This window comes from Homo sapiens, chromosome 10, assembly GCF_000001405.40.
Source record: "Homo sapiens chromosome 10, GRCh38.p14 Primary Assembly".
Taxonomy (NCBI): domain Eukaryota; kingdom Metazoa; phylum Chordata; class Mammalia; order Primates; family Hominidae; genus Homo; species Homo sapiens.
In genome coordinates, this window is record NC_000010.11 from 15203191 (window position 1) to 15227224 (window position 24034).

The window sequence follows — 24034 nt, forward strand, 5'->3', positions numbered from 1 at the left end:
CATTTCTGATGACTGACCAATGGCTTCACCTGGACCCACCAACCAGTCCTGGGGCCACACCCAGAAGCAGACTCAGTGCTCACAATGACCATTCCCCACACCCCTATGATTGCACCCCCAACCAATCAGCAGCACCCGTTCCCTTGATTGCCAAACTATCCTTGAAAAATCCTAGCCTCCAAATTTTCAGGGAGGCTGATATGAATAATGATAAAACCCTGGTTTCCCATTCAGCCAGCTCTATGTGGGTAAAACTCTTCCTCCATTACAATTCCCCTGCCTTGATAAATTGGCTGCATCTGGGCAGCAGGCAAGAAGAACCCACTGAGAGGTTACAGTTTCATTCCTCAGGTCTATTAATCAGGTTTTCCAGAGAAACAGAACCAATTGGTGTGTATATAAAAGAAGATTAGGAGGAATGGGCTTACAAGATGATGGTGTTTGTGAAGTCCCACGATCTGCCATTTGCAAACTGAGACCCAAGAAAGCTGGTGGTGTAACTCAGGCTGAAGGCCTGAGAACCAGGGGGCCAATGGGGCTAAGTCCCAGTCCAAGGGCAAAAAAAGATGAGATGAGATCACCCAGCTCAACAGTGAGGCAGAAAAACAAAAGGAGGCGAACTCCTGTCTCTCTGTTTTGTTCCATTCGGGCCCTCAATGGATAGCATTTAAAAGACAGAAACCCCTAAATTATGAATTTCAGAGATTATATAGGAACTACATCATAGCTGCCCCCATCCCTTCTAGAGACTTGGAGAGAAACCCTAAACCTTAACGTTTTTTTTTTTTTTTTTTTTTTTGAGATGCAGTCTTGCTCTGTCACCCAGGCTGGAGTGCAATGGCACGATCTCAGCTCACTGCAACCTCTGCCTCCCAGGTTCAAGTGATTCTCCTGCCTCAGTCTCCCGAGTAGATGGGATTACAGGCATGTGCCACAACATCTGGCTAACCTTTTTTGTATTTTTAGTAGAGAACGGGGTTTCACCATGTTGGCCAGGCTGGTCTCAAACTCCTGACCTCAGGTGATCAACCCGCCTTGGCCTCCGAAAGTGTTGGGATTACAGGCATGAGCCACTGCGCCCAGCCAGAAATCCTAACTTTCTAATGGAAACAAATTGTCATAGGGAAGAGAATGGGAAGGCCCTATGTGTTACAGCAAATGCCAGTGCAGATCAATGAATGCAAAGGCACAGCTCCAAGAGAGATAAACCCGCAAATCTCTCCAGAGTAATTCACGATCTGTTTTCCAAAATGATTAATATTCCCTCATCCTTTAATCCAGTGTTAAATTAAGTTTAGCCTAAAGCGGCCTCCTTGTAAATTTGGCCTAAAGGTTTCTCCCACATAGGGAACTATAACGGGATGTACAAACAGACTGGTAACTGCCCTTACCAATCACCGAGTTCTGGCCAATCAAAGGGGCCAACTGTTTAAACTGCCTTCAAGTGAGAGAAATGGTAAGCAGTAGGCAATTTGGCTATCTCTGGACCTCACGTCACTTTCCTTTGCCTCTGACATGGTGGCAGTGCCGGAGTCTCCCTCAGCCTATTCTGGTTCAGGCAGTAGGGTAGGAGCACCTGGCACTGATAACTTGACCGTACTCTGAGAATGACCCTGTAGGGCGGGCACACCTGAATGTGTATTCAGAGTTCCATGCTAGGGAATCTGGGAGTAGCCCACCCCGAGATCCATTCCTTTTCTATGAAAAACATTTGATCCCCCACCCTGGCCCATGGAACACAGGTCGTACAGGGGATTGAGACCCTTTGTTTTGGGTTAAATGAAGGTTGCCAGGTGGAATTTGTTAGAGGGAGGGTGTAAAATGAAAATGCTATCTAAACTGCATGCATTTTGCAAGGATTTGCAGTTTTCCTGCTTGGCCCACTGCCACTGGACTCTCTCCCCTGTATGTAAGCCCCCAATAAAACCCACGTCTCCTTCGCTGGTGCGGGATCTCGTCTTTGGCCTCTTGTACCTGGTGCCATCCCTACTGAGATTAATAGGGGTCTGGCATGACAAAGGGGGCTGCCCGATTCGAGAATTGTTCTTTGCTCAATTAAACTGTTACATTTGTCTAGAGTTTTTAATACTAGGTTGCCAGTAACTTTTGCTCAGGAAACTGAGCTACACAGAAACATGAAAACATTCATGTTGTTGGCCAGGCGCGGTGGCTCACACCTGTAATCCCAGCACTTTGGGAGGCCGAGGCGGGCGGATCACGAGGTCAGGAGTTCAAGACCAGCCTGGCCAACATGGTGAAACCCCATCTCTACTAAAAATACAAAAATTAGACGGGCATGGTGGCGTGTGCCTGTAATCCCAGCTACTTGGGAGGCTGAGGCAGAAGAACCTCTTGAACCCAGGAGGCGGAGGATGCAGTGAGCCAGGAGCGCGCCACTGTACTCCAGCCTGGCGACAGAGCGAGACTGCGTCTCAAAAAAAAAAAAAAAAAAATTCATATTGTTTCCTGACAGCAAGTGGAGTCAAAAGAACTTGCCTGGATTTGGGGGTGAGGTTGACAGATGTTTGTAGGGTGACCCTGAGGTTTCTGGCCAAGGAAACTATATGGTGAGGCCATTTATTGGGATAGTACATAGGCAAAAACTAGGAGAACTGGTTTCCCTGATTTGCGGAGGAGTAGGGAATTCACGGGACAACATGAAGATAATAAATAGAGTTTTAGGTGCTTGAGGATGCTCAGTCTGCAGTTTGAACTCAGTGGCAGGCCTGGGATGCAGATACGGACGTGGGAGTCCCAAACAGGCAGTGATGTGAAATTGCTCGGGCAAGATGGCAGGAATAACCTGGACCTTGGGAAGAGGACGGACGGTAGAGCCAAGACATGTTGACACAGTGTGTCCACCTTCGGTTTTTCAACAGGCCATTGTGAACAGGAAGAGAGAAATCTGTTAGGCACTGCTGCCCAACTTGACATGCTATTTCACATAAATGCTTCCCCAACTGCAAATCTGGGGTATAGCTGTTAATCGACCCCAGAAACAAAGAGAAAAGTGAATAATTCCCTGAGGTACCCAATGGAAGGTGCTACCAGGCTGTAAAGTAGCTTCAATGTTTCTAAAGCAGTGGTCTACAAGCCTGTGTATGAGAATCAGCTAGGGAGAGTTTTTGTTTGTTTGTTTTGTTTTTAAACCAGTTTCACCTACAGAGATCCTAATTCAATCAGTCTGTGGTGGGGCCCAAATGCTTTAATATTTTTTTTCCAGCTCCCAGGGGATGCTAACATGTATCCATGGTTTGGATCCATGTCCCCGCCAAATCTCATGTTGAAATGTGATCCCCAGTGTTGGAGGTGGGCCTGGTGGGAGGGGCTTGGATCACAGGGGTACCTCTCATGAATGGCTTGGTGCTGTTCCCTTGCTGATGAGTGAGTCCACGTGAGATCTGGTTTAAAACTATGGCACCTCTCTTGCTCCCACTCTGGCCATGTGTGATGCCTGCTCCTGCTCTGCCTTCTGCCATGATTGTAAACTCCCTGAGGCCTCCCCAAGTAGATGCTGGTGCCATGCTTCCTGTACAGCCTGCAGAACCATAGCCAGTTAAACCTGTTTTCTTTATAAATCACCCAGCCTCAGGTATTCCTTTACAGCAACACAGGAATGGCCTAACACCCCAGGTTTGAGCAACACTGTTCTATAGTTACATGCACATTATCTTATTACCATAGAGCAACTCAATTCAAGAATTCAAGAACGGCTGCCATGTTTTACAGAGGTATTGCTTTCAGTAGCAAATTATGGTGATTGGGGACTTACCCTAACATTATTGCCTTGTAGACAGTGTCCTAACACATGTTTCCAGACAAATCTTTAAGAAGGCTGCACCTTCACAGAGCTCACTGGCTATCTTCAGACACCAGGCAAAACATCCCCTTTGAGCAAAGGAGATATTACTCAGCTGAAGCTTGCAGAAAGCAGTACGATGGGGCCGGGCACCATGGCTCACGCCTGTAATCCCAGCACTTTGGGAGACCGAGGTGGGCAGATTACTTGAGGCCAGGAGTTCGAGACTTGCCTGGCCAACATGGTTGTATTAGGGTTCTCTAGAGGGATATAACTAATGGAATATATATATTATATATAATAATATATATATATACACACACACACATGCACATACATATATACACACATATGTATATATAAAGGGGAGTTTATTATTAACTCACATGATCATAAGGTCCCACAATAGGCCGTCTGCAGTCTGAGGAGCAAGGAGAGCCAGTCCGAGTTCCAAAACTGAAGAACTTGGAGCCTGATGTTCGAGGGCAGGAAGCATCCAGCACGGGAGAAAGATGGAGGCTGGGAGGCTAGGACAGTCTCTGTTTTCACATTTTTCTGCCTGCTTTGTATTCTAGCTGTGCTGGCAGCTGATTAGGTGGTGACCACCCAGATTAAGAGTGGGTCTGCCTCTCCCAGCCCACTGACTCAAATGTTAATCTCCTTTGGCAACACCCTCACAGACACGCCCAGGATCAATACTTTGTATCCTTCAATCCAATCAAATTGACATTCAGTAGTAACTATCAAAATGGTGAAACCCCATCTCTACTAAAAACACAAAAGTTAGCCATGGTAGTACATGCCTGTAGTCCCAGTTACTAGGGAGGCAGAGGCAGGAGAACTTCTTGAACCCAGGAGGCAGAGGTTTCAGTGAGCCAAGGTAGCGCCACTGCACTCCAGCCTGGGTGAAAGAGTAAGACTCTGTCTCAAAAAAACAAACAAACAAAAGTAATAGAATGGGGAAAAAGAGATGCCACTGTTTTGTCTACCATTTTCCTTAAAAAGTAGCTGAGAAGCAGCTGATATAGCCCCAAAATGACCATTGTCACACTAGAGCAACAAGATTAGGGAACTGTAAGATACTAGTAATAGTTCAGAGAAATAAACTGTTTTTGTAATTTACAACTTACAAAAACTTTGATATGTATTGTCTCACTTGAATTCAACTCACCCAGAGGTGAGGAGAGCAAATACCCCCAACCTCTTGCTAAAGCATCAGAAGTGAGTCACCTGTCTGTTGGTCAGAGCCAGGCCTGACACCCAGAGCTTCTTCTCCAAATCCTAGATTTTAATAATTAGCATGGTTTACTTATGCCTTAGACCCTCATTATGGAGTGCTGAATGCATACTGTAGACAGATAGCAGAGGGTGCCAGTGAGGTGAGATGGGGCAGCAGCATGCAGAGGTGGCTGCACACTGGGCCGAGTGTCAGGAGATGAGGCCCACCTCTGTGTGGTCACCCATTGCATATGTGGAAAGGTCAACACAACACTTGTGACTTCAGCCTTCAATTTCCTCTGCTGTGAGACCACCAAGCCTCTTTCAGGTTCTTCTATTCCTGCCCATCCTGTTAAGGTGCAAAAGCCTAGCAATGCGAGAATTATGAGCCACTTTGAAGGTACCAAAATACCAACCTGAAACAACTCACAATGGCTGCGAAGAATGGAAAAAACATTTGCCAGGTATTTTAGTGTATATTTACAATTACAGCTTTGAAAATCATTTTTTTTTTTTGGCGGGGAGGAGAAGACTTGCAATTTCTATTTCGCCTGGAGTTTAGCTGGCTTTCTCCCTGATCTATGAGAGCAACTGCCTTTCTCCTTGTCACTGCCTTCTCCTGTTTGAAGGACCATGACAACCATCATGCCCTTTTCAAGTTCTCTGTGATGTCATAAAAGTCCCCAAGACATAATTGCAACTTGCTTTAACTATGGTGTCAATGCAGCAAACAAGAAATCGTGGAATATCAATATGGTTGAAAAATCACCCCCCATTTCTAACTTTACTCATTTTTATGAGGTCCTCTAGGTCTAAACACCTGCATAAGCGATGTCTGTGAGAGGGTGAACACAAGAAATCACACTGAGTTTGTCATGCTTGTGGCCTACGTACCATTCTGTGGCTTTCTGGTTTCCTTCCTTTTTGGTTTTGGTTTCATTTTCTTGGGTGCGATGCCTCTTTGTTTTTGCATTTGTCTGTGCTAGTTTATCCTAAATAAAGTTCCAAATGCACAGGGTCACTATCACTTAAATGATGTTGTGTATCCCCTGGCAGAGCTTAGGGCACACACTTTCTTTTCTTTTCTTTTCTTTTTTTTTTTTTTGAGACGGAGCTTCGCTCTTGTTGCCCAGGCTGGAGTGCAGTGGCGTGATCTCGGCTCACCGCAACCTCTGCCTCCCGGGCTCAAGCAATTCTCCTGCCTCAGCCTCCCGAGTAGCTAGGATTACAGGCACCCACCACCACACCCAGCTAATTTTTGTATTTTTAGTGGAGACAGGGTTTCACCATGTTGCCCAGGCTGGTCTTGAACTCCTGACCTTAAGAGATCCACTCACCTCAGCCTCCCAAAGTGCTGGGATTACAGGCCTGAGCTGCCACGCCCAGCCTTATGTATTTCATTATACAGATTATTATGTATTCCATTTGTAAGTTCTGTCCTATGCATCCTTTATCAGGGACATTTATAATTTAAGTGCATTCATTTCCAGAGAGCTGGCTGTTTAAGCCGTGCACCACTGTTTCTAGCTGGGTGACCTCAATTACTTAACCACTAAGCCTCAACTTCAGTGCAAAACAAAGAAGAATAAACATTCCTTCCTTGAAAGATTTTGAGGATTGAATGCAATGATTGTTTCCAATACATTGTTTCCAGGTAGAGACTCCAGGAACCTCAGTCCCCTTCTCTCCACCCACCTCACCTTGGGGAGAGACCCAGTGGCAGATTCACCCCTGTGCACGCCCACCCCTACTTTCCCAGAGTGGCCCTGTGTGTCTGGACTAAACCGTTACAGGTGGGGAAAACTCACCACTAGGGGGCGGGAGCAAGATGCCTTTGATGGCTGTCGTCCTTCAGACCACGTAACTGATTTGGAATACTGTGACATATTCACCCTTCCACCCTCCGTGGGGAGAGAGAGGATAAATGTGTAAAGTCTGTGGCCACGGTGCTGCATTCAGAGAATCCCACTCTAGTGATCAGCGTTGGCATCCTGAGAAAATGAGAACCACTGAGCCCCAGTTAGGACAACTGTTAAAATGTGATAAAAATCTTCAGCCGACCCAGTTGCCCTTCTGCAAACCCACCTGCTTGTTGTCCTCGGCACACGGCATGCTGTGACTGCTGCTGGCTGCTTAATACATCGGGGCCCATCCAGGTGAGTCTCACCTAAGGAGGAGTCAGCAAAGCAGTCTTCTCCACCCCCATCTTCCTGCCAGATCTCTCAGGATCAGCGCTTACAGTTAATGTGCTACCCGACTTTCCCAGGTAACATGCATTAAATGAGGCTCTTCTAGAAACTGACGTTTTAAGGAGGTGATTCCATTGGCGGCAACCTTAGAGCCGCAAAGGACTGGGGTCAATGACAGCAGAGAGGTCTTCCGGGACTTCCTCCCTCGTCCCTCCTCATCTAGGTCTGGCCCTGGATTTTCCTGGAGGAGCAACTTCCTTATTCTTTTCAGGGGAGCTGACCAACGCCTTCTCCCTGGAGTCTTAGCCAGGTCTGCAAGGATGCCCCTGCCACTTACTGGTGAGATGTCCACTCCCGCGCAAAGGGCGTCTCACTCCTTAGGCCCCCAGGCTCCCATCTGGCTAGCTGTCCCACTGTCAAGGACTTGCTCAACTATTTTCCCCCTTAAAAGCCAAACAGGCAACACCACCACTTGAGAATGAAAATCATCAAAACCACTGTGATTAGTTCTTTGCCTGCATGGAATTCACAAATACTGATTTTGTTGACTGTAAACATAGCTGGCTTAATTTATTTCTGCCAGTTATGTCCCAACACCTCCATTAATGATTTTATTTTGATGAATAGTTTTATACATCTGGGAGGATTCTGGTCATTCTAATGATATCTTCTTGAAGCTCTTCCAAGATGGATCAATACTGACCATAAAACATCAGATTCTTGTTAAGTGCAGACATCCCTCTTTACCTGAAACACATCAAAATGTTATTTGGTGTTCTTGAACAAAACTACAGACAAAGGTGGATTTTTATAGATTTTAACCCTAGAGGAAATTCCTAGGTGTCTAGGTGGTGGGTCTCCAAATACAAGTCTGACAACTGCGTTGCAGACTGCCACCAAGGAAACAATGACAAAGACTTTTTTTTTTTTTTTTTTTTTTTTTTTTTTTTTTTTTGAGACAGGATCTGCTCTCTTACCCAGGTTGGAGTGCAGCAGTACCATCCTCCCACCTCAGCCTCTCAAGTAGTGGGGACTACAGGCATGAGCCACTATAACCAGGTAATTAAAAAAATTTTTTTCACAGAGATGGGCTGAAGTGATCCTGAGCTCAAGTGATCCTCCTCCTTTGGCCTCCCAAAGTGCTGGGATTACAGGTGTGAGTCACCATGCTTGGCCTGACAAAGTCTTAATAACAACTTTGAAACAGATAATGACTCAGAATGAATTCAAATGACCACAAAGACAGTTTTCCTTTTCTTCAGAGTTTATTTTGAATTTTCATTTTTGGATAACCAAGCAGCTCTTTAAGAAGAATGCACAGAAGAGTCATTCTGGCACTTTTGGATAGTACATAAGATTTTCTTTTTTTTTTTTAAATTTTTTTTAATAGTCACATTCAGCTCGCTTGCTCAAACCAGACTCCCACATTGGGTGAGCAAGATGAGCCCATAGGATTCCAGAGTTAATACGTAACCGTATATACAAACAGCCAAAAAACCATAATGGTGCCACAGGGATGGAGCAGGGAAGGGCATCTCTAACGTGTCCTCTAGTCTATCTTCGCTAAACAGAACCCACGTTACACATGATAACTAGAGAGCACACTGTGTTGAAACGAGGATGCTGACCCCAAATGGCACTTGGCAGCATGCAGTTTAAAGCAAAAGAGACATCCTTTAATAACTGTATAAAATCCAGGCAGTTCCATTAAAGGGGTTAAGAAAACCAACAACAACAAAAAGCGAGGGACTGTCTGTTGTCACTGTCAAAAAGGCACTTGGAGTTAATGGGACCAGGATTGGAGGACTCTTAGCTGATACAGATTTCAGTACGATTTCATTAAAAGGCTTGGATGTTAAGAGAGGACACTCAGCGGTTCCTGAAGGGAGACGCTGAGATGGACCGCTGAGAAGCGGAACAGATGAACACAAAGGAATCAAATCTTTACAACCAAATTGCATTTAAGCGACAACAAAAAAAGGCAAACCCCAAAACGCAACCTAACCAAAGCAAAATCTAAGCAAAATCAGACAACGAAGCAGCGATGCATAGCTTTCCTTTGAGAGAACGCATACCTTGAGACGCTACGTGCCAACCTAAGTTCTCAACGACAGCTTCACAGTAGGATTATTGTGATAAAAATGACTCAAGCGATGCAAAAAGTTTCATCTGTTCCCAGAATCCGAGGGAGAACTGAGGTGATCGTTAGAGCATAGCGACATCACGTGCGGTTTCTTAATGTCCCTGGTGGCGGATACGCCGAGTCCTCGGAAGGACATCTGGACACCACTTTCAGCCACCTCCTTGCAGGGGCGACATCCGCCAAAGTCATCCTTTATTCCGAGTAATAACTTTAATTCCTTTCTAACATTTACACGGCAAACAGGAATGCAGTAAACGTCCACGTCCGTCCCACGGCTGGGCTGCCGTTCCGTTTCCTCCACGAACGGGTACGCGCTTCCATGAGAAAGGATATTTGGCAATTTTATATTCCACAGTCAGGTGGGTCTGCGATAGCTCATTTAATGTTAAACGCCATCAGGGGCCTCTCCTCCCGTTTCTGCCAGGGGCTTTTCTTGTCTTCTCCTTGGTCATCATCATCATCGTCTTCCTCTTCCTCGTGGGCAGATCTTCTCTGGTGGGGGCTGGCTGCTGGCTCCGAGGGGGCATCCGCAGTCCGTCTGGTCGTCTCCTCCTGCAGGCTGGGCAGCTGGCCACCACTTCTCCGACTCGACCCCTCCAACAAGCATCGCAGGGCACTGTCCTCGGGGGTACAGACCGTGGTCCCACATTCGCTACCACTCTGTTCCACGTCATCCAGGTACACGAGCTGCGTGTAGGCCGTGCTGTCTGGGGCTCGAGGCTCTTTCTGCTGGTGCTCTTGGACGGGCGGGTAGTTCTGCTGCAGAGACAAAGCATCTCCCCTTCCCTTCCGGGCTGATTTTGGTTCATTCATATCTACGCCAGAGTCCAAACTGGCATCATTACTTCCGTTCCTTCCAGCTCTTTGGAGATCAATGTATGAATGTCTAACGTGAGCGTTGGACCTGCCATCCAAGGAGACGAACCACGCCCGGGGGTGCGGAAGCGGCTTCCCACCCCCAAGCTCCATCAGGGCCTTTTCAGTCAGGAGCTGCACCTCACTGTTCATCTGAGCCAAAGCCGCGTCGTTCAGGGAAGCTGGGATGGAGAGAGACTCCGACATGGATGCGTTCTGAGGGCTCCACTCCCGGGTGCCCGCATCCTGCAGGTGCTGCTGAGAGATGGCCTGGGAAGACAGGGGCTGGGGCTGGATCTGTGAGGACGGGTGTGGGAAGATCCCGGCATGGGGATTGGACAGCTCAGCCTGTAGTCTTTCTATCTCAAGCTGCTGATCAGCCGGGACGACGAGGGGCTGGCTGACATAGGAGTGGTCCCCGGGGAGTTTCATATAATGAGCCGGGATGACCAAGGCAGGCAGTACTTTCCTGTAAACGCTGTCATTGACCTGGTCGACAGAACTGCAGCAGATTAACTGGCCGGGCCGTGGGAAGGACGTAGGTCTCTCGAGGTGATCTACTGATCGCGACATCATACATTCAGTGGGTCTGCGGTCCAGCAGCTGTTCTTTCTCAGGTGATGAAGGCGCGGGGTACAGATGTTCCTGAATGGTGAGTTTGCTTCCCGTGGAGGCTGGACCTTCTCTGTCCTGCTTTTCAAATAAAGGCTGTGAGAGCACGGTGTTGTAACTACCCCTGTAGTCATCATTGCCCGAGGACTCGTAGCCTTCTCTTTCCATAGATTTTCTTGCCTTTAAGGGAAAAACCTCCACTGACTTATGGTAGTCTTTCCCCAGCGTCCCACTTGGAGTGAGGTTATCAAAGGAGATCTGGCTTTTATCCTCTTCCTTGCAAGAGAGGAGCTCCTCCCGGGAGCTAAATTCCTGGGAGGTGCTGTAGGAGAGCTTGAGCATGGGGGTGTGCAGGTCCCCTTCGCCGCCCGGAGACATCATTTCCAAATGGACTCCACTCATCAGTTCCTTCGTGCCGGGGGCCTCGGGGCGGCCGTGGCTGGTGACGGACAGCGGGCCAGGGAATTCTGACGCTCGGCGTGAAAACAGCAAGTTAATGTGTGACATGGACGTGGACTGGTCTCTTTTGGAACTCTCCAGTCCTGCAGGGAGCTGCAGTTTTCTGTGGTGCTGACGAGGTTTCAAGCACTTCCTCCTGCGCCCAAAGACACAATCCAAAGCCAAAGATTAGTGATTCTCACAATGAAAAAGTTTCAAGTTTCAGGTAAAATCCTAATTCTCAATTTCCATGGGGAGAGACAAAACAAAACAAGTCAGGAGCAGCCAAAAGCCTTCTCACCCCACGCCCTGTCTTTTTTTTTTTTTTTTGAGACAGCATCTTGCTTGCTCTGTCGCCCACGTTGGAGTGCAGTGCTATGATCATAGCTCACTGCAGGCTTGACCTCATGGGCTCAAGTGATCCTCCCACCTCAGCCTCCCGAGCAGCTGGCACCGCAGGCACATGCCACCATGCCCAGCTAATTTTTGACTTTTAGTTTTTTTGTAGAGATGGCCTGTGTTGCCCAGGCTGGTCTTAAACTCCTGGCCTCAAGCAATCCTCCCCCTTCAGCCTCCCAAAGTGCTAGGCCTCCATGCCTGGCCCTTATCCTTATTTTATCCTTATTAGAGTAGGATAATCGAGAGATTTCATCTTTTACTGTCTGGAGAGCCCTTTGCCTAAATGAATTAAATGTATGACATTCATTTTTCTATGACTTAAAAAAGTCAACAACTTATTAAAGAGTCTCAAACGTGACTAAAATGCTTTGCATTTTTAAAAATAAAATTTTTCCTCTATAATGCCTTTTTAAAACAGCTAAACTTAAAGGCTTTTATAAGCCAAGTTACTTATTTCAAAGGGGTTACTCAAGAGTTGACAATAAATATTCTTGCAAACTAAACAGACACGGCATCTAAATAAGAATAATTTTTTTTTTTGAGATGGAGTCTTGCTCTGTTGCCCAGGCTGGAGTACAGTGGTGCAATCTTGGCTCACTGCAACCTCCACCTTCTGGGTCCAAGCAATTCTCCTGCCTCAGCCTCCCAAGTAGCTGGGATTATAGGCGTGTGCCACCATGCCCAGCTAATTTTTGTATTTTTGGTAGAAACGGAGTTTCACCACGTTGGCTAGGCTGGTCTCGAACTTCTGACCTCAAGTGATCCGCCCACCTCGGCCTCCTAAAGTGCTGGGATTACAGGTGTGAGCCAACGTCCCTGGCCCAAATAAGAAGAGTTCTGCTTTGCCCTTCAGAGTATCATCTCTTAATCAGCGTTCAGGAATACTCTGAATAAATCAGATGACTATTGTTAAACTCTTTTTCATAACTCCCCTTCTAAGCAATGTTATCCACGCAGCATGCTTTACACATACTATTTGTTAAGTTGCAACTTAGATCACAAATGTGAGTTCTTACTTTTTCATGGGAAGAAAAAGTACTTCAATTTAGAAAAATTAAAAAAAAAACCCACCTCCATATTAATGCTTCTAAGTATCAATTGCCCAAGAAACTGTGAATTAAAAAAGATATTGCCAAAATGGTAACACTTTACCTGCAATAATATAAAAGGAGACACAGCAAAACCAAAAGTATGAAAGCCATTCCTCCTAAAATGGCCAAAAGAAACACCGTGTGATACGTGGTAATGTCCTGTGTTACAACGGGACCTAGAAGGTCAGAAAATGGCATTTAGAGTTTTGAACACCTTTAACTCAAAAGAGGGATCATTCATTGAGAACGCAGTGTCTTGTGCTTACTCTTCTTAGCTGGGGCATAGAGCAGTGGCCAGAGGAAAACGCCCTTGGATCATGCACTTGGGGTACCACCAGCATTGCATTAGTGATTAGCATGACTATTATGGAAGCTCCCACAGCCAGGAGAACTTTGAATACTCAAAGACAAGATGTGGTTACGTCAAGGGCCCCTCCTAAGCGGAGAAGTGCGCCTCACTTGGTAGCATGTGCCGCATTTGAAATACATGATCTTTTTAATTTTTTTTTTTTTTGAGACAGGGTCTCATTCTGTCACCCAGGCTGGAGCGCAGTGATACAATCATGGCTTACTGTAGCCTTGACCTCCTGGGCTGCATCAATCCTCCTGCCTCAGCCTCCAGCATAGCTGGGACTACAGGCACGCACCACCACACCTGGCTAATTTTTATAAATTTTTTTTAGAGGCAATGTTCTCACTATGTTGCCTAGGTGGGTCTTGAACTCCTGAGTTCGAGCAATCCACTGCCTCGGCCTACCAAAGTGCTGGGATTATAGGCATGAGCCACTGTGCCCAGCCATATGATCTTTTCATACAAGAAAATGAACGCATGACGATATAATGACTGGGACTCTCACCTTCAGAAAGATGGCCTATCTGGGAATTTTATATTGCAGTGAAAAAAAAAAAAAAAACCCTACAAAGTTTTATTTTCGCTTTTCCCGGGCAGTCAATCATTACCGTCTGGAGAGCCCCTAGCCCAAATGAATCAGTTTAAATGTATGACATACATTTCCTGTGACTTAAAAAAGTCAGCAACTTTTAACACTTAATACAGGTATCAAATATGACTAAAATGATATCCATCTTTAAAAACAAGATCTTTCTCTACAATGGCTTTTCAAAATAGCTAACCTTACGTGGCCAGAGATCTCTTTAGAACTTATACATAAGGTTATCAAAGATAAAAATATTTTAAGTTTATGTTGTAAAAAATCCCAAGAGGTAGCTTAACTCACATTTTATGTTCCGTAGTAGTACAAATCTATCTTAATGTTACTAACAACAGATCAGCGACAACAAAAACCTCCCAACATTCCAATATTTAGGTATTTATTGGTGTCCGAGTTTCCTGGCAGTGTATGAATACATGGGTCGAAATGAACTGGCCTCATATTATTTCAGGGTAGCATGGCTATGATTATTAAACACCACAGACACCCATTTGCTTATTTTTGATTTTTGACATTCTAAGACATAGACTTTTTAAAAAATCTTCTTAAGGGGACAAATCTCCTAATTTAAGACCTAGATAAACCCAAGATTTACCAGTTTTTGAAAACAGTGATGTTACTTAAATTCACAAGAAACACCATTCTCTTTCAGATATAATTACTTCAATGGAGTGCGAGGAGGGGGTTAAAGTTTACAAAAATTGGAAAAATAACTGACAATTAGATACTGGCTTACTTGTTCAGAGAAACAATTTTTTTTTTTTTTTGAGACGGAGTCTTTGCTCTGTCACCCAGGCTAGAGTGCAGTGGTGTGATCTCAGCTCATTGTAACCTCTGCCTCCTGGGTTTAAGTGATTCTCCTGCCTCAGCCTCCTGAGTAGCTGGGATTATAGGCGCCCGCCACCATGCCTGGCTAATTTTTTTAAGTAGAGATGGGGTTTCACCATCTTGGCCAGGCTGGTCTTGAACTCCTGACCTCATCATCCACCTGCCTCGTCCTCCTAAAGTGCTGGGATTACAGGCATGAGCCACCGCACCCGGCCCAGAGAAACAATTTTTTCATGCAAAGACAATAGACAATTCCCACGGATGTAGCAAAGCTTTGTCAGGAGTCACCAAGAAACTTAGGGTACACATAAAAGTATTTCCAAATACTGATGCTTCGTCCTTTAAGTACTCAAAGCATTATTGTTTTGTTTTGTTTTGTTTTGAGATGGAGTCTCACTCTATCATTCAGGCTGGAGTGCAGTGGCACGATCTGGGCTCACTGCAACCTCTGCCTCCCAGGTTCGGATAATTCTCCTGCCTCAGCCTCCTGAGTACCTGGGACTACAGGTGTGTGCTACTGTGCCTGGCAAATTTTTTGTATTTTTAGTAGAGACAGGGTTTCAACGTGTTAGCCAGGATGGTCTTGATCTCCTGACCTCATGATTCGCCCACTTTGGCCTCCCAAAGTCCTGGGATTACAGGCATGAACCACCGTGCCTGGCCAGCATTATTGTTTTAATCTCTGCCAGTACGATTCTTTATAAAATTCACAGCTATACTTCACTTCAAGGAGTTAAGGAACATAACCCAAATTATTTTGTTGTTGCTTTTGAGTTCATGAAAGCCCAATATTAGTATAATTTTTTGTAATAAAGGTGGGTTGTGAGATGACTGACATATGTATCCCTACATTAAATACCATCAGAGGCTGTAGTGGGTATGCTTTGTGTTATTTTTGAGATGGGGTCTCACTCTGTCACCTACGCTGGAGTGCAGTGACATGATCATAGCTCACTGCAGCCTTGAACTCCTGAGCTCACGGGATCCTCCTGCCTCAACCTCTCAAGTAACCGGGATTACAGGTGAATGCTACCATCACTGGCTAATTAAAAAAAATTTTTTTAGAAGTGGGGTCTTGCTGTGTTGCCCAGGCTGGTCTTGAACTCCTGGGCTCAAGAGATCATCCTGCCTTGCCTCCCAAAGTGCTGGGATTACAGGTGTGAGCTACCATGCCCTGGCCTGTGTATGCTTTTTATAGCCTTGAGTCTCTTCCTTCACTGCTAGGAAGCTCTCAGGGGAGCTACGTCTGGCAGTTCCTTCATGCTGCCTTACAAAAGCATATACTGGACAGGCGCAGTGGCTCATGCCTGTAATTTCAGCACTTTGGGAGGCTGAGGCGGGGGGATCACCGGAGGTCAGAAGTTCAAGACCAGCCTGACTAACATGGTGAAACCCTGTCTCCACTAAAATACAAAAATTAGCCAGGTGTGGCGGCGGAGACCTGTAATCTCAGCTACTCTGGAGTCTGAGGCAGGATAATTGCTTGAACCCAGGAGGCGGAGGTGGCCATGAGCTGAGATCATGCCATGGTACTCCAGCCTGGGCAACAAGAACAAAACTCTGTCTCAAAAAAACAAACGAACAACAACAACAACAAAACCAAAACACACACACACAAAAAGCATGTACTGATCTACTGCATGATGGGAAAACTAATAGCTGAGATTGAAATACATCTAAAATTAAAGTTCATTTTAATGCGTGGGCTTTATGGCATTTATTTTAGTGCTTAAGACAATTCTTTTCCTTCCTTTGTTTCTCTTCAGTCATAATCTAGGTATTTCAGATTCAGAGAATGGGGCATTTCTACGTGTGGTTCATGCTTATATCACTACAAAAACAATAGCATCAAGGGAAACACATTAATCTTTTTTTTCTTTTTTTGAGAGGGTGTCTCGCTCTGTCGCCCAGGCTGGAGTGCAGTGGCACAATCTCGGCTCACTGCAACCTCTGCCTCCTGGGTTCAAGCGATTCTCCTGCCTCAGCCTCCCAAGTAGCTGGGACTACAGGCGTGTGCCACCACGCCCAGCTAATTTTTGTATTTTGAGTAGAGACGGGGTTTCACCATGTTAGCCAGGATGGTCTTGATCTCCTGACCTCGTGATCCGCCCTCCTCGGCTTCCCAAAGTGCTGGGATTACAGGCGTGAGCCACCGCGCCCGGCTAAGGGAAACACATTACTCTTAAAACAGATGTGAAGTGTAAATTTTCTTAGTATGGTGATATAAAGTCATTGTAACACATTTTTCCACACCTGTTTAGGAAAGACCTCCATCAAATCAGTTACTTTGTGAGTCTAAGTGCTAATTCCAGTGATAATTCCATTGCTAAAATATTTGAACTTGCATTTTAGAACTGCCTTCATGGTTCATTTACAAGAGACACCTTTTAATCACAGCACATTTCGACCTAGCTAAGTCACCTACTTTATTCACCAGTCTTGAATGTGCATGACTTTTAGATGTCTTTAAAAAGAAAAATCATAAAGATTTGCCATTTGAGCATAAAGATTTGCCACCAAGAAAGAGATTTACTAATGAAGGCAGAAGGCAGTCCAAGTAATATAGATTCTAAAGGCAGCTTGAGCAACAGAAGCTATCACTGGAAATAATTCTCCTGAGATGACCATTTTGAAAACAAAACAAAACAAAACAAAACTCAACAATTCTAGAATATTTTTGGGGGTAACATAGGTTAAAAAAAATAAACTATTGGTCACGTTCTGAAAGATATGCATTAATGCACATATCCTAAATGGAGGGGAAGATTCTCGTAGATACAAAGCAACTGGTTTACGTTTAAGCCATTTTGGAAATGCCCCACCAGGCTTTTTGCCCCCAGTGGTGACTTCCCACTAGCATCTCTGTGGAGTGCTTTTCCCTACATGTGTGCCTATACCAGGCCACAGCTGTTTCAGGAATTAGGGAGGAGGTCTTGCTGGTCTCTGTGGGCTTTTGATGAAGAATTCCCTATGGCAGCTGTCTGAACAAAACAGCCACTCAAGACTATTTTCTATGCATTATTCTTACCCTAGATGGAAGATTTCCAACCAGAAGTCCCCCACCCCCGCAAAATACCTTCTTTACATCATCTCATTTTCAGACTTTTAACCATTTTTGAATAAGATGTGATCGCCCTGCTGAAGTTATTTTCAAGAGCATACTTAGCCTGAACCCTCAAAGACCAAAGCAACTGATCCGCATCATCGCAAGTGTTGGCTCCGTGTTACCTGGGATGGGAGGGGACATGGCGGCCACCCAGTACCCCAACTGGGGGGCAATGTATGTCCACGTCAGCTGGCTGCCTTCCTGGTGCACAAGACCCAGACCGCTCTTCAGCCACGTTCCTGTGGAATTGAGAAAGAGATGTTAGCTACAAGCACACCACGCTCCTTTGTAAGGCTTGAGCATATTGTAAAAGTCATCTTAAATATCTTAAATGTCATGTTTATGACCTATAAGATAACCAAGATGGCCAAAGTGTCATCTAGGGACCCCAGGCAGCTTTCTGGAGAAATTCTTTTCAATTTCCTTTCAGGGAAAGATAAGCAACTTTAGTGTTCCTTTGCCTTCTCAATTAAATTACTTTCAGCCACTTTATCAAACAACCCTCCTTCCAAACACAGATGATTTTAGCAGAAGCCTTTGGAACTCAGAAGCAGAATACAGGCAGCATGATGGGGGCTGGTGGGAGTGAAAAGAGAGGGGGAAATCCGGCTCTATTCAAGCTCTTTGTCCTTGAGCAAATTTTCTATCCAGAGCTGCAGACTGGCTATATCAGAATTACCTAGGGGTGTTTTGAAAAAATAGATCCCTTCATCCCATCTTTGCAAACTCTCATCCAGTAACCCTGGCTTCAGTGAGCATTTTTAAAAGCTTCCAGTTTGTTCCAATGCTGGGAAACACCAAATACATCAAGGTCCCTGCTGTATCTTCCAGTTATTACTTTAGCTAGCATTTGAAAGTAACAAGCACCTGCTATGCACTAGCTATTCACAGCATACGTGTCTTATAATACACCATCTATAATTCTCACCACAACAATGAAGACTGGGGAGTTACAAAACTTTTCCAAGGCCTCTCGGTGGCTGAGAGCAGAGTGGGAATAGAACCTGGGGCTGCCTGACCTCAAGGCTGTGCTATTTCTTCTGCTCTGCCAGGCTGCATTTCCTAGAAACCTTCCCAGCATTTGATTGCATTTTTACTTTGTGAAGTTTCTAGGAGCAAACTCATTGAAGAGGATGAACTTGCCCAAGGTTGTTGGGCTATTTCCCAGCCAAAAATGGATGCCTTTTCCTGGGCTCACCTGCAGAGAGCCTTGCTCTGAGGCCTGCGATGGCAGCTGTGGGCAGAAGGCCAGGGAGAGGCTGGGCGAACCTCTAGACAGCCCGCGCACCCACTCCGACCTATCAGCATGGAGATGTCCCGGCATACACAGGCCTCCTGTGCAGCTCACCTCTCTCCTATAATCATCCTCACCTGAAATGGCTACGTGGGCGACCCTGTGGCTCTAAGGCCTAAATAGACCAGCTGTGCACCAAATGCAGGCATGCATCATTTAACAGGGATACATTCTGAAAATGCATTGTTCATCGCTGTGCAAACATCATAGAGCGTCCTTATGCAAACCTAGATGGTACTGCCTCCTACACACCTGGGCCACACGGTCTAACCCATTGCTCCTAGGCTACAAACCCGTACATCGTGTGACTGCGCTGAATACCATAGGCCACCGTCACACAATGGGAAGTATCTGTGTATCTAAACATAGAAAAGGTACAGTAAAAATACAGAATTATAGTCTTATGGGATCATCATTGTACATGTAGTTCATCGTTGACCCAATCATCATCCTGTGACTCATGCCTGTATTCTACCCAAATGCTTGCCTTGCTTAGCTACACGCCTCATGCAGAGGTGGTGGTAATGGATTTTTATTCCCCCTGAAGAAAGAAACAACACTTGGGTTGCTTCGAGGCCTTATCAGTTGCCATAGCAACATTCAAATGCAGTGGGTGGAAAGATGCCCTTGGTGATGCCTCCCCTGGCAGCCGCTCCTCTGCTCACATGGCAGCGGCACACAGTGGGCACGTGGGACAAGTCGGGCACCAGCGAGGGCTCGGCATCTCCCCCTTCCCACGCCACAGGCTGGATCACTGCACCAAAGGGTTTGGGCTCCAGAAAGAGCAGACTGTAAGCAAGGTTTTGCAAATGGGTATGAGGGCAGGGATGCCCGGTTCTGGTCCATTTCCTGAAGCGCACCCTCCTAGAAATCACCCTGTTCTACAGGACTATTGTACAAGGGGAGCGACAACGTAAGATGTTTGACATATTGAGGAAAAAGGGCTGGGCATGGTGGCTCACGCCTATAGTCCCAGCACTTTGGGAGGTCAAGGTGGGAGGATCACTTGAAGCCAGGAGTTCGAGACCAGCCTGGGCAACAGAGTGAGATGCCATCTCTACAAAAAATAATTTTAAAAAGTAAGAAAAAGGTTTTCTCTGATGGTAAGAAAGCTTCCTCAAAGGTAGAGAATGTTTGCGACTGCTCCTACTCCCGCTCCAGGCTTGGCACCCGTTCAGCTCATGACTTACACGTCGTATCCCCTCCCCAAAGCTGGCCCACTACAGTGATGCTCTCAGCCTCTCTGCATCAGCCAGGAAAGGGCTGTGCATTCTTTGGTTTGCTGTTTTCCCCACATTAGATTGTTGAGTCACTGCTTGTCAAACAGCAGATTCTGGGTTAGGCTAAACGGGACCCAGAGGGTGAGAGCTGGAAGCAGAGTAAGTCCTGCTCATTCATGAATGCACACCTGCCTTTCTCCTGCCTTTCTCCCTAAGTTGCCTTTCCCTTCTAAAACACACGATAACCAATTGAAACAGACTTTAAAAAATAGCTCCACATTGGCTGGGGGTGGTGGCTCATGCCTGTAATCCCAGCACTTTGGGAGGCTGAGGCTGGTGGATCACTTGAGGTCAGGAGTTTGAGACCAGTCTGAGCAACACAGCAAAACCCCGTCTCTACTAAAACTATGAAAATTAGCTGGGTGTGGTGGCTCCCATCTGTAATTCCAGCAACTGGGGTGGCTGAGGCAGGAGAATCACTTGAACCTGTGAGGCGGAGGTTGCGGTGAGCTGAGATTGAGCCACTGCACTCCAGCCTGGGCGACAGAGCAAGATTCTATCTCAATTAAAAATAAAACAAAACAAAACAAAAAAAACCCCTCCACATTACATTTGGGACAAGCCTAGTGGGTGACCACATATATAGACCCCACCAGACTAATGAGTCCCCAAGTTCACTCTGGAGGGCCTGCAGTCCAGCAGTGGTGCTGGTGGAGGCCAGAAAGTCCATTGGCTGAAGAAGACATAGCTGCTTGGAGGGTCAGCTAGGAAACACCCACCTGGGGTGGGTGTAGAAGGATTGGGATGAGTTTAGTTTTGATGAACAGGCAGGGGTTGTCAGTGATGGGGAGAGATGGGGCAGGGCGGGAGCCAGGAGAAAGAGAAGGAGGACATTCTACCCAGGGATCAGTGTGTACAAAGGCCTGGTGTGGTGGGCCTGGATGACATGTGAAGATGGAAGTGGGGATGGGAGCACAGAGGCCCCGGGTGAACAGGACGGAGCAGCTGTGCCCGGGCTGGAAAGGAGTTAGGCATCCTTCTGGGACGATCTTCACACCCCATTTGCTGCAGGAGGACATGGGGGACCTGGAAACGGAGGCACACATGGTTGGAGCTTCTCCCACTTCCTTCCTCTCTTCTACCCCTGATAGGGTTTGGCTATGTCCCCACCCAGATCTCATCTTGAATTGTAGCTCCCACAATTCCTGTGTGTTGTGGGAGGCACCTGGTGGGAGATAACTGAATCATGGCGGCAGGTCTTTCCTGTGCTGTTCTTGTGATAGTGAATAAGTCTCAGGAGATCTAATGGTTTTATAAGGGGGAGTTTCCCTTTACAAGTTTTCTCTCTTGCCTGCCACCATGTAAGATGTGCCTTTTGCCTTCTGCCATGATTGTGAGGCCTCCCCAGCCATGTGGAACTGTGAGTCTATTAAACCTCTTTTTCTTTATAAATTTCCCAGTCTCAGGTATGTCTTTATCAGCAGCGTGAAAACAGACTAATACAGTCCCCAACCCCCTCTTTAGTTCCTGCCAGGCAGTCTTCACAATGCACACCTCTACCCATTCTGTGACTTTGCCTGCAAATGTAGCTCCAACCTCATATAGTTTTTCTCTCTTCCAAAAATCTACCCAGTCTTTCAAGATTCAAATCAAGCCCAGTGTTTTTCCAGAGGCCTTTCTAGGACACATGGGTCTTCCGTGTCTTGGCACATCCTGGGCAAGTGTTACTGCATCACCCATTTGCCAAAAACACACGTTGCCTTCCGTGGCTAGCCTGTGGCCCTCAGTCTTATCTCCTTTCTTAGATCGTAAACTCCATGGGTGTGGCCTGTGTCTTGCGTTCCTTTTGTTTTCTTCTCAGCACCTAGAGATATGCATAGAGTAGGAACTCCAGAGACCTTCAGAATGAGTGGAAGCTACAGGTGCAATCAAAAAATAATATCTGGTAACCTGTGAAAGGCTGGGTGCAGTAGGCAGGGAAGGATATCCCCATGGCAGTCTGATCATGCCTGGGATGCTGCCCTTTCAAACTAAAGGGAACAGAACCAGCTGGGGAAGAGCCTACTATGGCTAAAGCGTGACACTCTTTGGGGATTCAACAATCATGCTGTTACTGGCAAAAGCATTTCATGCTTTCCGTGTTTTGTGGGAGGAAATAAGCTCCAGGGAGTATGGGAATTAGCAAATTGTGTACTAGAAACACATGCTTCTCATGGCGGAATCCTGATGCCACTGTGGGATGCAGACAGTTTCACCACCGGAGCAGCGGGCACCAGGGCCAGGATTCTTTACTGGTGGTACCGGATGGCAGAGCACACAGGCCTCTGCAAAGTCTCTTCTGCTGAATATGGGACCGCTGGGTGTTGCAACCAGGAAGGGCGCCCTTTCATCATGCGGTGAGAGCCTCGGGCACTGCTGAGACAGAGCAAGGGAGGAACCAGGTTGTTCCTGCTGCACGAACCAAAGAAAGCTCCACTGCAAGGCCTCTCAAGTCGGCCCACCTGCCCCTAAGCATGGAGGCCTTGGGATGCTCCTGGGTGAGGACATCTGCCCAGAGGGCTCTCCTTCTTAAGCCTGTCTCCTTGGGGTCTGACAGACAACAGTCCCTAATGTGACAGCAGCCCAGCTGGGCTACCTGCTCAAGCCCCCTTCACCCTGAGCTTCTCTTTCTGCCCTTCCCAGCCTCTTCCAGGGGCTTACCACTGCCTCTTAGTGTCCTCTGCACAAGCAAGCAGCTGAGGTGGCCGCTGGGACTTGCAGACTCAAGGCAAGGTCATGTGGTGAAGGCAAGCAGGACCCTACAGCCTCCTCCTGCCTCACCCCAGAAACCCAGGCTTCTTCCTGCAGAAGCCGCACCACTGCAGCTGCGCCAACCTGGTCGTGCAGCCGGCATTTTAGGAGGTGGCTGGACAATGACATGTGCCTCTCTGTTCCAATCAACGCCTATGGCTGGGCCTGTTACCGGGACTGCATGTGTGTGAAGGTTACGGGGTGATCTCTCTGGCATCATCAAGGGATGAAATTCTGCGTTACTGAAATTTCTACATCATTGATTGTTACATAGTTTTTAAAGCATTTGAACCCCCTCTTTAATGGATTCTTAGGCAGAAACTAATACATGAAACAGATAAAAGGTAAGCTTCCCTGCATGAGGGCAAAGAGACGTCCCCCCAATCCCCACCACAGCCATCCCCAGGACACCTCCTGAACCATCTGGGAGCTACTCTTCTACGTAACCTGACTCTTTGCCAAAACTTGAAAAGGCCATTTATAAAAATTCTAAAAAGCATCATTTCCTCCTGCTCTGTGAATGTGAATACAATTTTGACTTTTCTTCATCCCTCAGGGTCATAATTATGATCAACTACAATGCTAGGTTCTGACATATGAATGTCCTTAAGAATACAGAGGTGGGGATTATAAGTTGTTTGCTCTTGCGCTGAATACTCCCCCCTACCCTCATGTTTATTTCCCTTTTCTTTCTTCCTTATAACGTGTTATCAGTGTTCTGTTATCAACTCTGCTCCCCCACCACAACCACCCCCCAGCTTCCCACCTGGAGCTGTATGCTATTGGGAAACACACAACCTTATTACAGTTCTGTCTGAAATAAGATACACAGGCAGTGTGAGGGACAGGAGGACAAAATCAGATACGGAACAGTGATACATATATTTCTTTTTAGACAGAGTCTCATTCTTTTGCCCAGGCTGGAGTGCAGTGGTGCAATCTCAGCTCACTGCAACCTCTGCCTCCTGGGTTCAAGTGATTCTCCTGCCTCAGCCTCCTGAGTAGCTGGGATTACAGGCACCTGCCACCACAACCAGCTAATTTTTTGTATTTTTAATGGAAATGGAGTTTCACCATGTTGGCCAGGCTGGTCTCGAAC

The 24034-nt window shown here is 46.5% G+C and overlaps 1 protein-coding gene and 3 long non-coding RNA genes across 9 annotated transcripts in view, besides 1 other annotated feature; 1 reads left to right on the plus strand and 3 right to left on the minus strand.

The window, feature by feature from the left end:
- Positions 1-4210, minus strand: part of LOC105376434 (uncharacterized) — a 34557-nt gene extending 30347 nt beyond the window's left edge. For both annotated transcript variants that reach the window (XR_930699.2, XR_001747378.2), the window contains exon 1: positions 4186-4210. This is a non-coding gene — a long non-coding RNA (uncharacterized LOC105376434). The remainder of the gene's footprint in view (positions 1-4185) is intronic.
- An 856-nt stretch (positions 4211-5066) lies between these two features.
- On the minus strand, positions 5067-8147 carry LOC107984211 (uncharacterized). Its single transcript, XR_001747379.2, has 3 exons — positions 7103-8147; positions 6826-7008; positions 5067-6009 (listed from the first exon to the last, which is right to left on the minus strand). It is a non-coding gene; the product is annotated as an uncharacterized LOC107984211 (long non-coding RNA).
- Positions 5397-24034, plus strand: part of FAM171A1-AS1 (FAM171A1 antisense RNA 1) — a 32653-nt gene continuing 14015 nt past the window's right edge. For both annotated transcript variants that reach the window (XR_007062068.1, XR_930696.3), the window contains exon 1: positions 5397-5481. This is a non-coding gene — a long non-coding RNA (FAM171A1 antisense RNA 1). The remainder of the gene's footprint in view (positions 5482-24034) is intronic.
- Positions 6876-6925: a silencer, noted in NCBI's record as "silent region_2170". NCBI's record gives its function as "represses an Ori minimal core promoter by ATAC-STARR-seq in GM12878 lymphoblastoid cells {active_cell/tissue: GM12878}" and the evidence as "EXISTENCE:reporter gene assay evidence [ECO:0000049][PMID:35858748]".
- Positions 8453-24034, minus strand: part of FAM171A1 (family with sequence similarity 171 member A1) — a 162912-nt gene continuing 147330 nt past the window's right edge. For 3 of the 4 annotated variants that reach the window (XM_017015904.2, NM_001010924.2, XM_011519378.3), the window contains exons 6-8: positions 17754-17870; positions 12806-12920; positions 8453-11411 (exon numbers count right to left, since the gene is read on the minus strand). In XM_017015904.2, the coding sequence (XP_016871393.1) occupies positions 9725-11411; positions 12806-12920; positions 17754-17870 (1919 nt within the window). In that variant the 3' untranslated portion in view covers positions 8453-9724. Of the gene's footprint in view, positions 11412-12805; positions 12921-17753; positions 17871-24034 lie in introns of those variants that run through there. The other variant, XM_047424776.1, reaches the window with a different exon arrangement.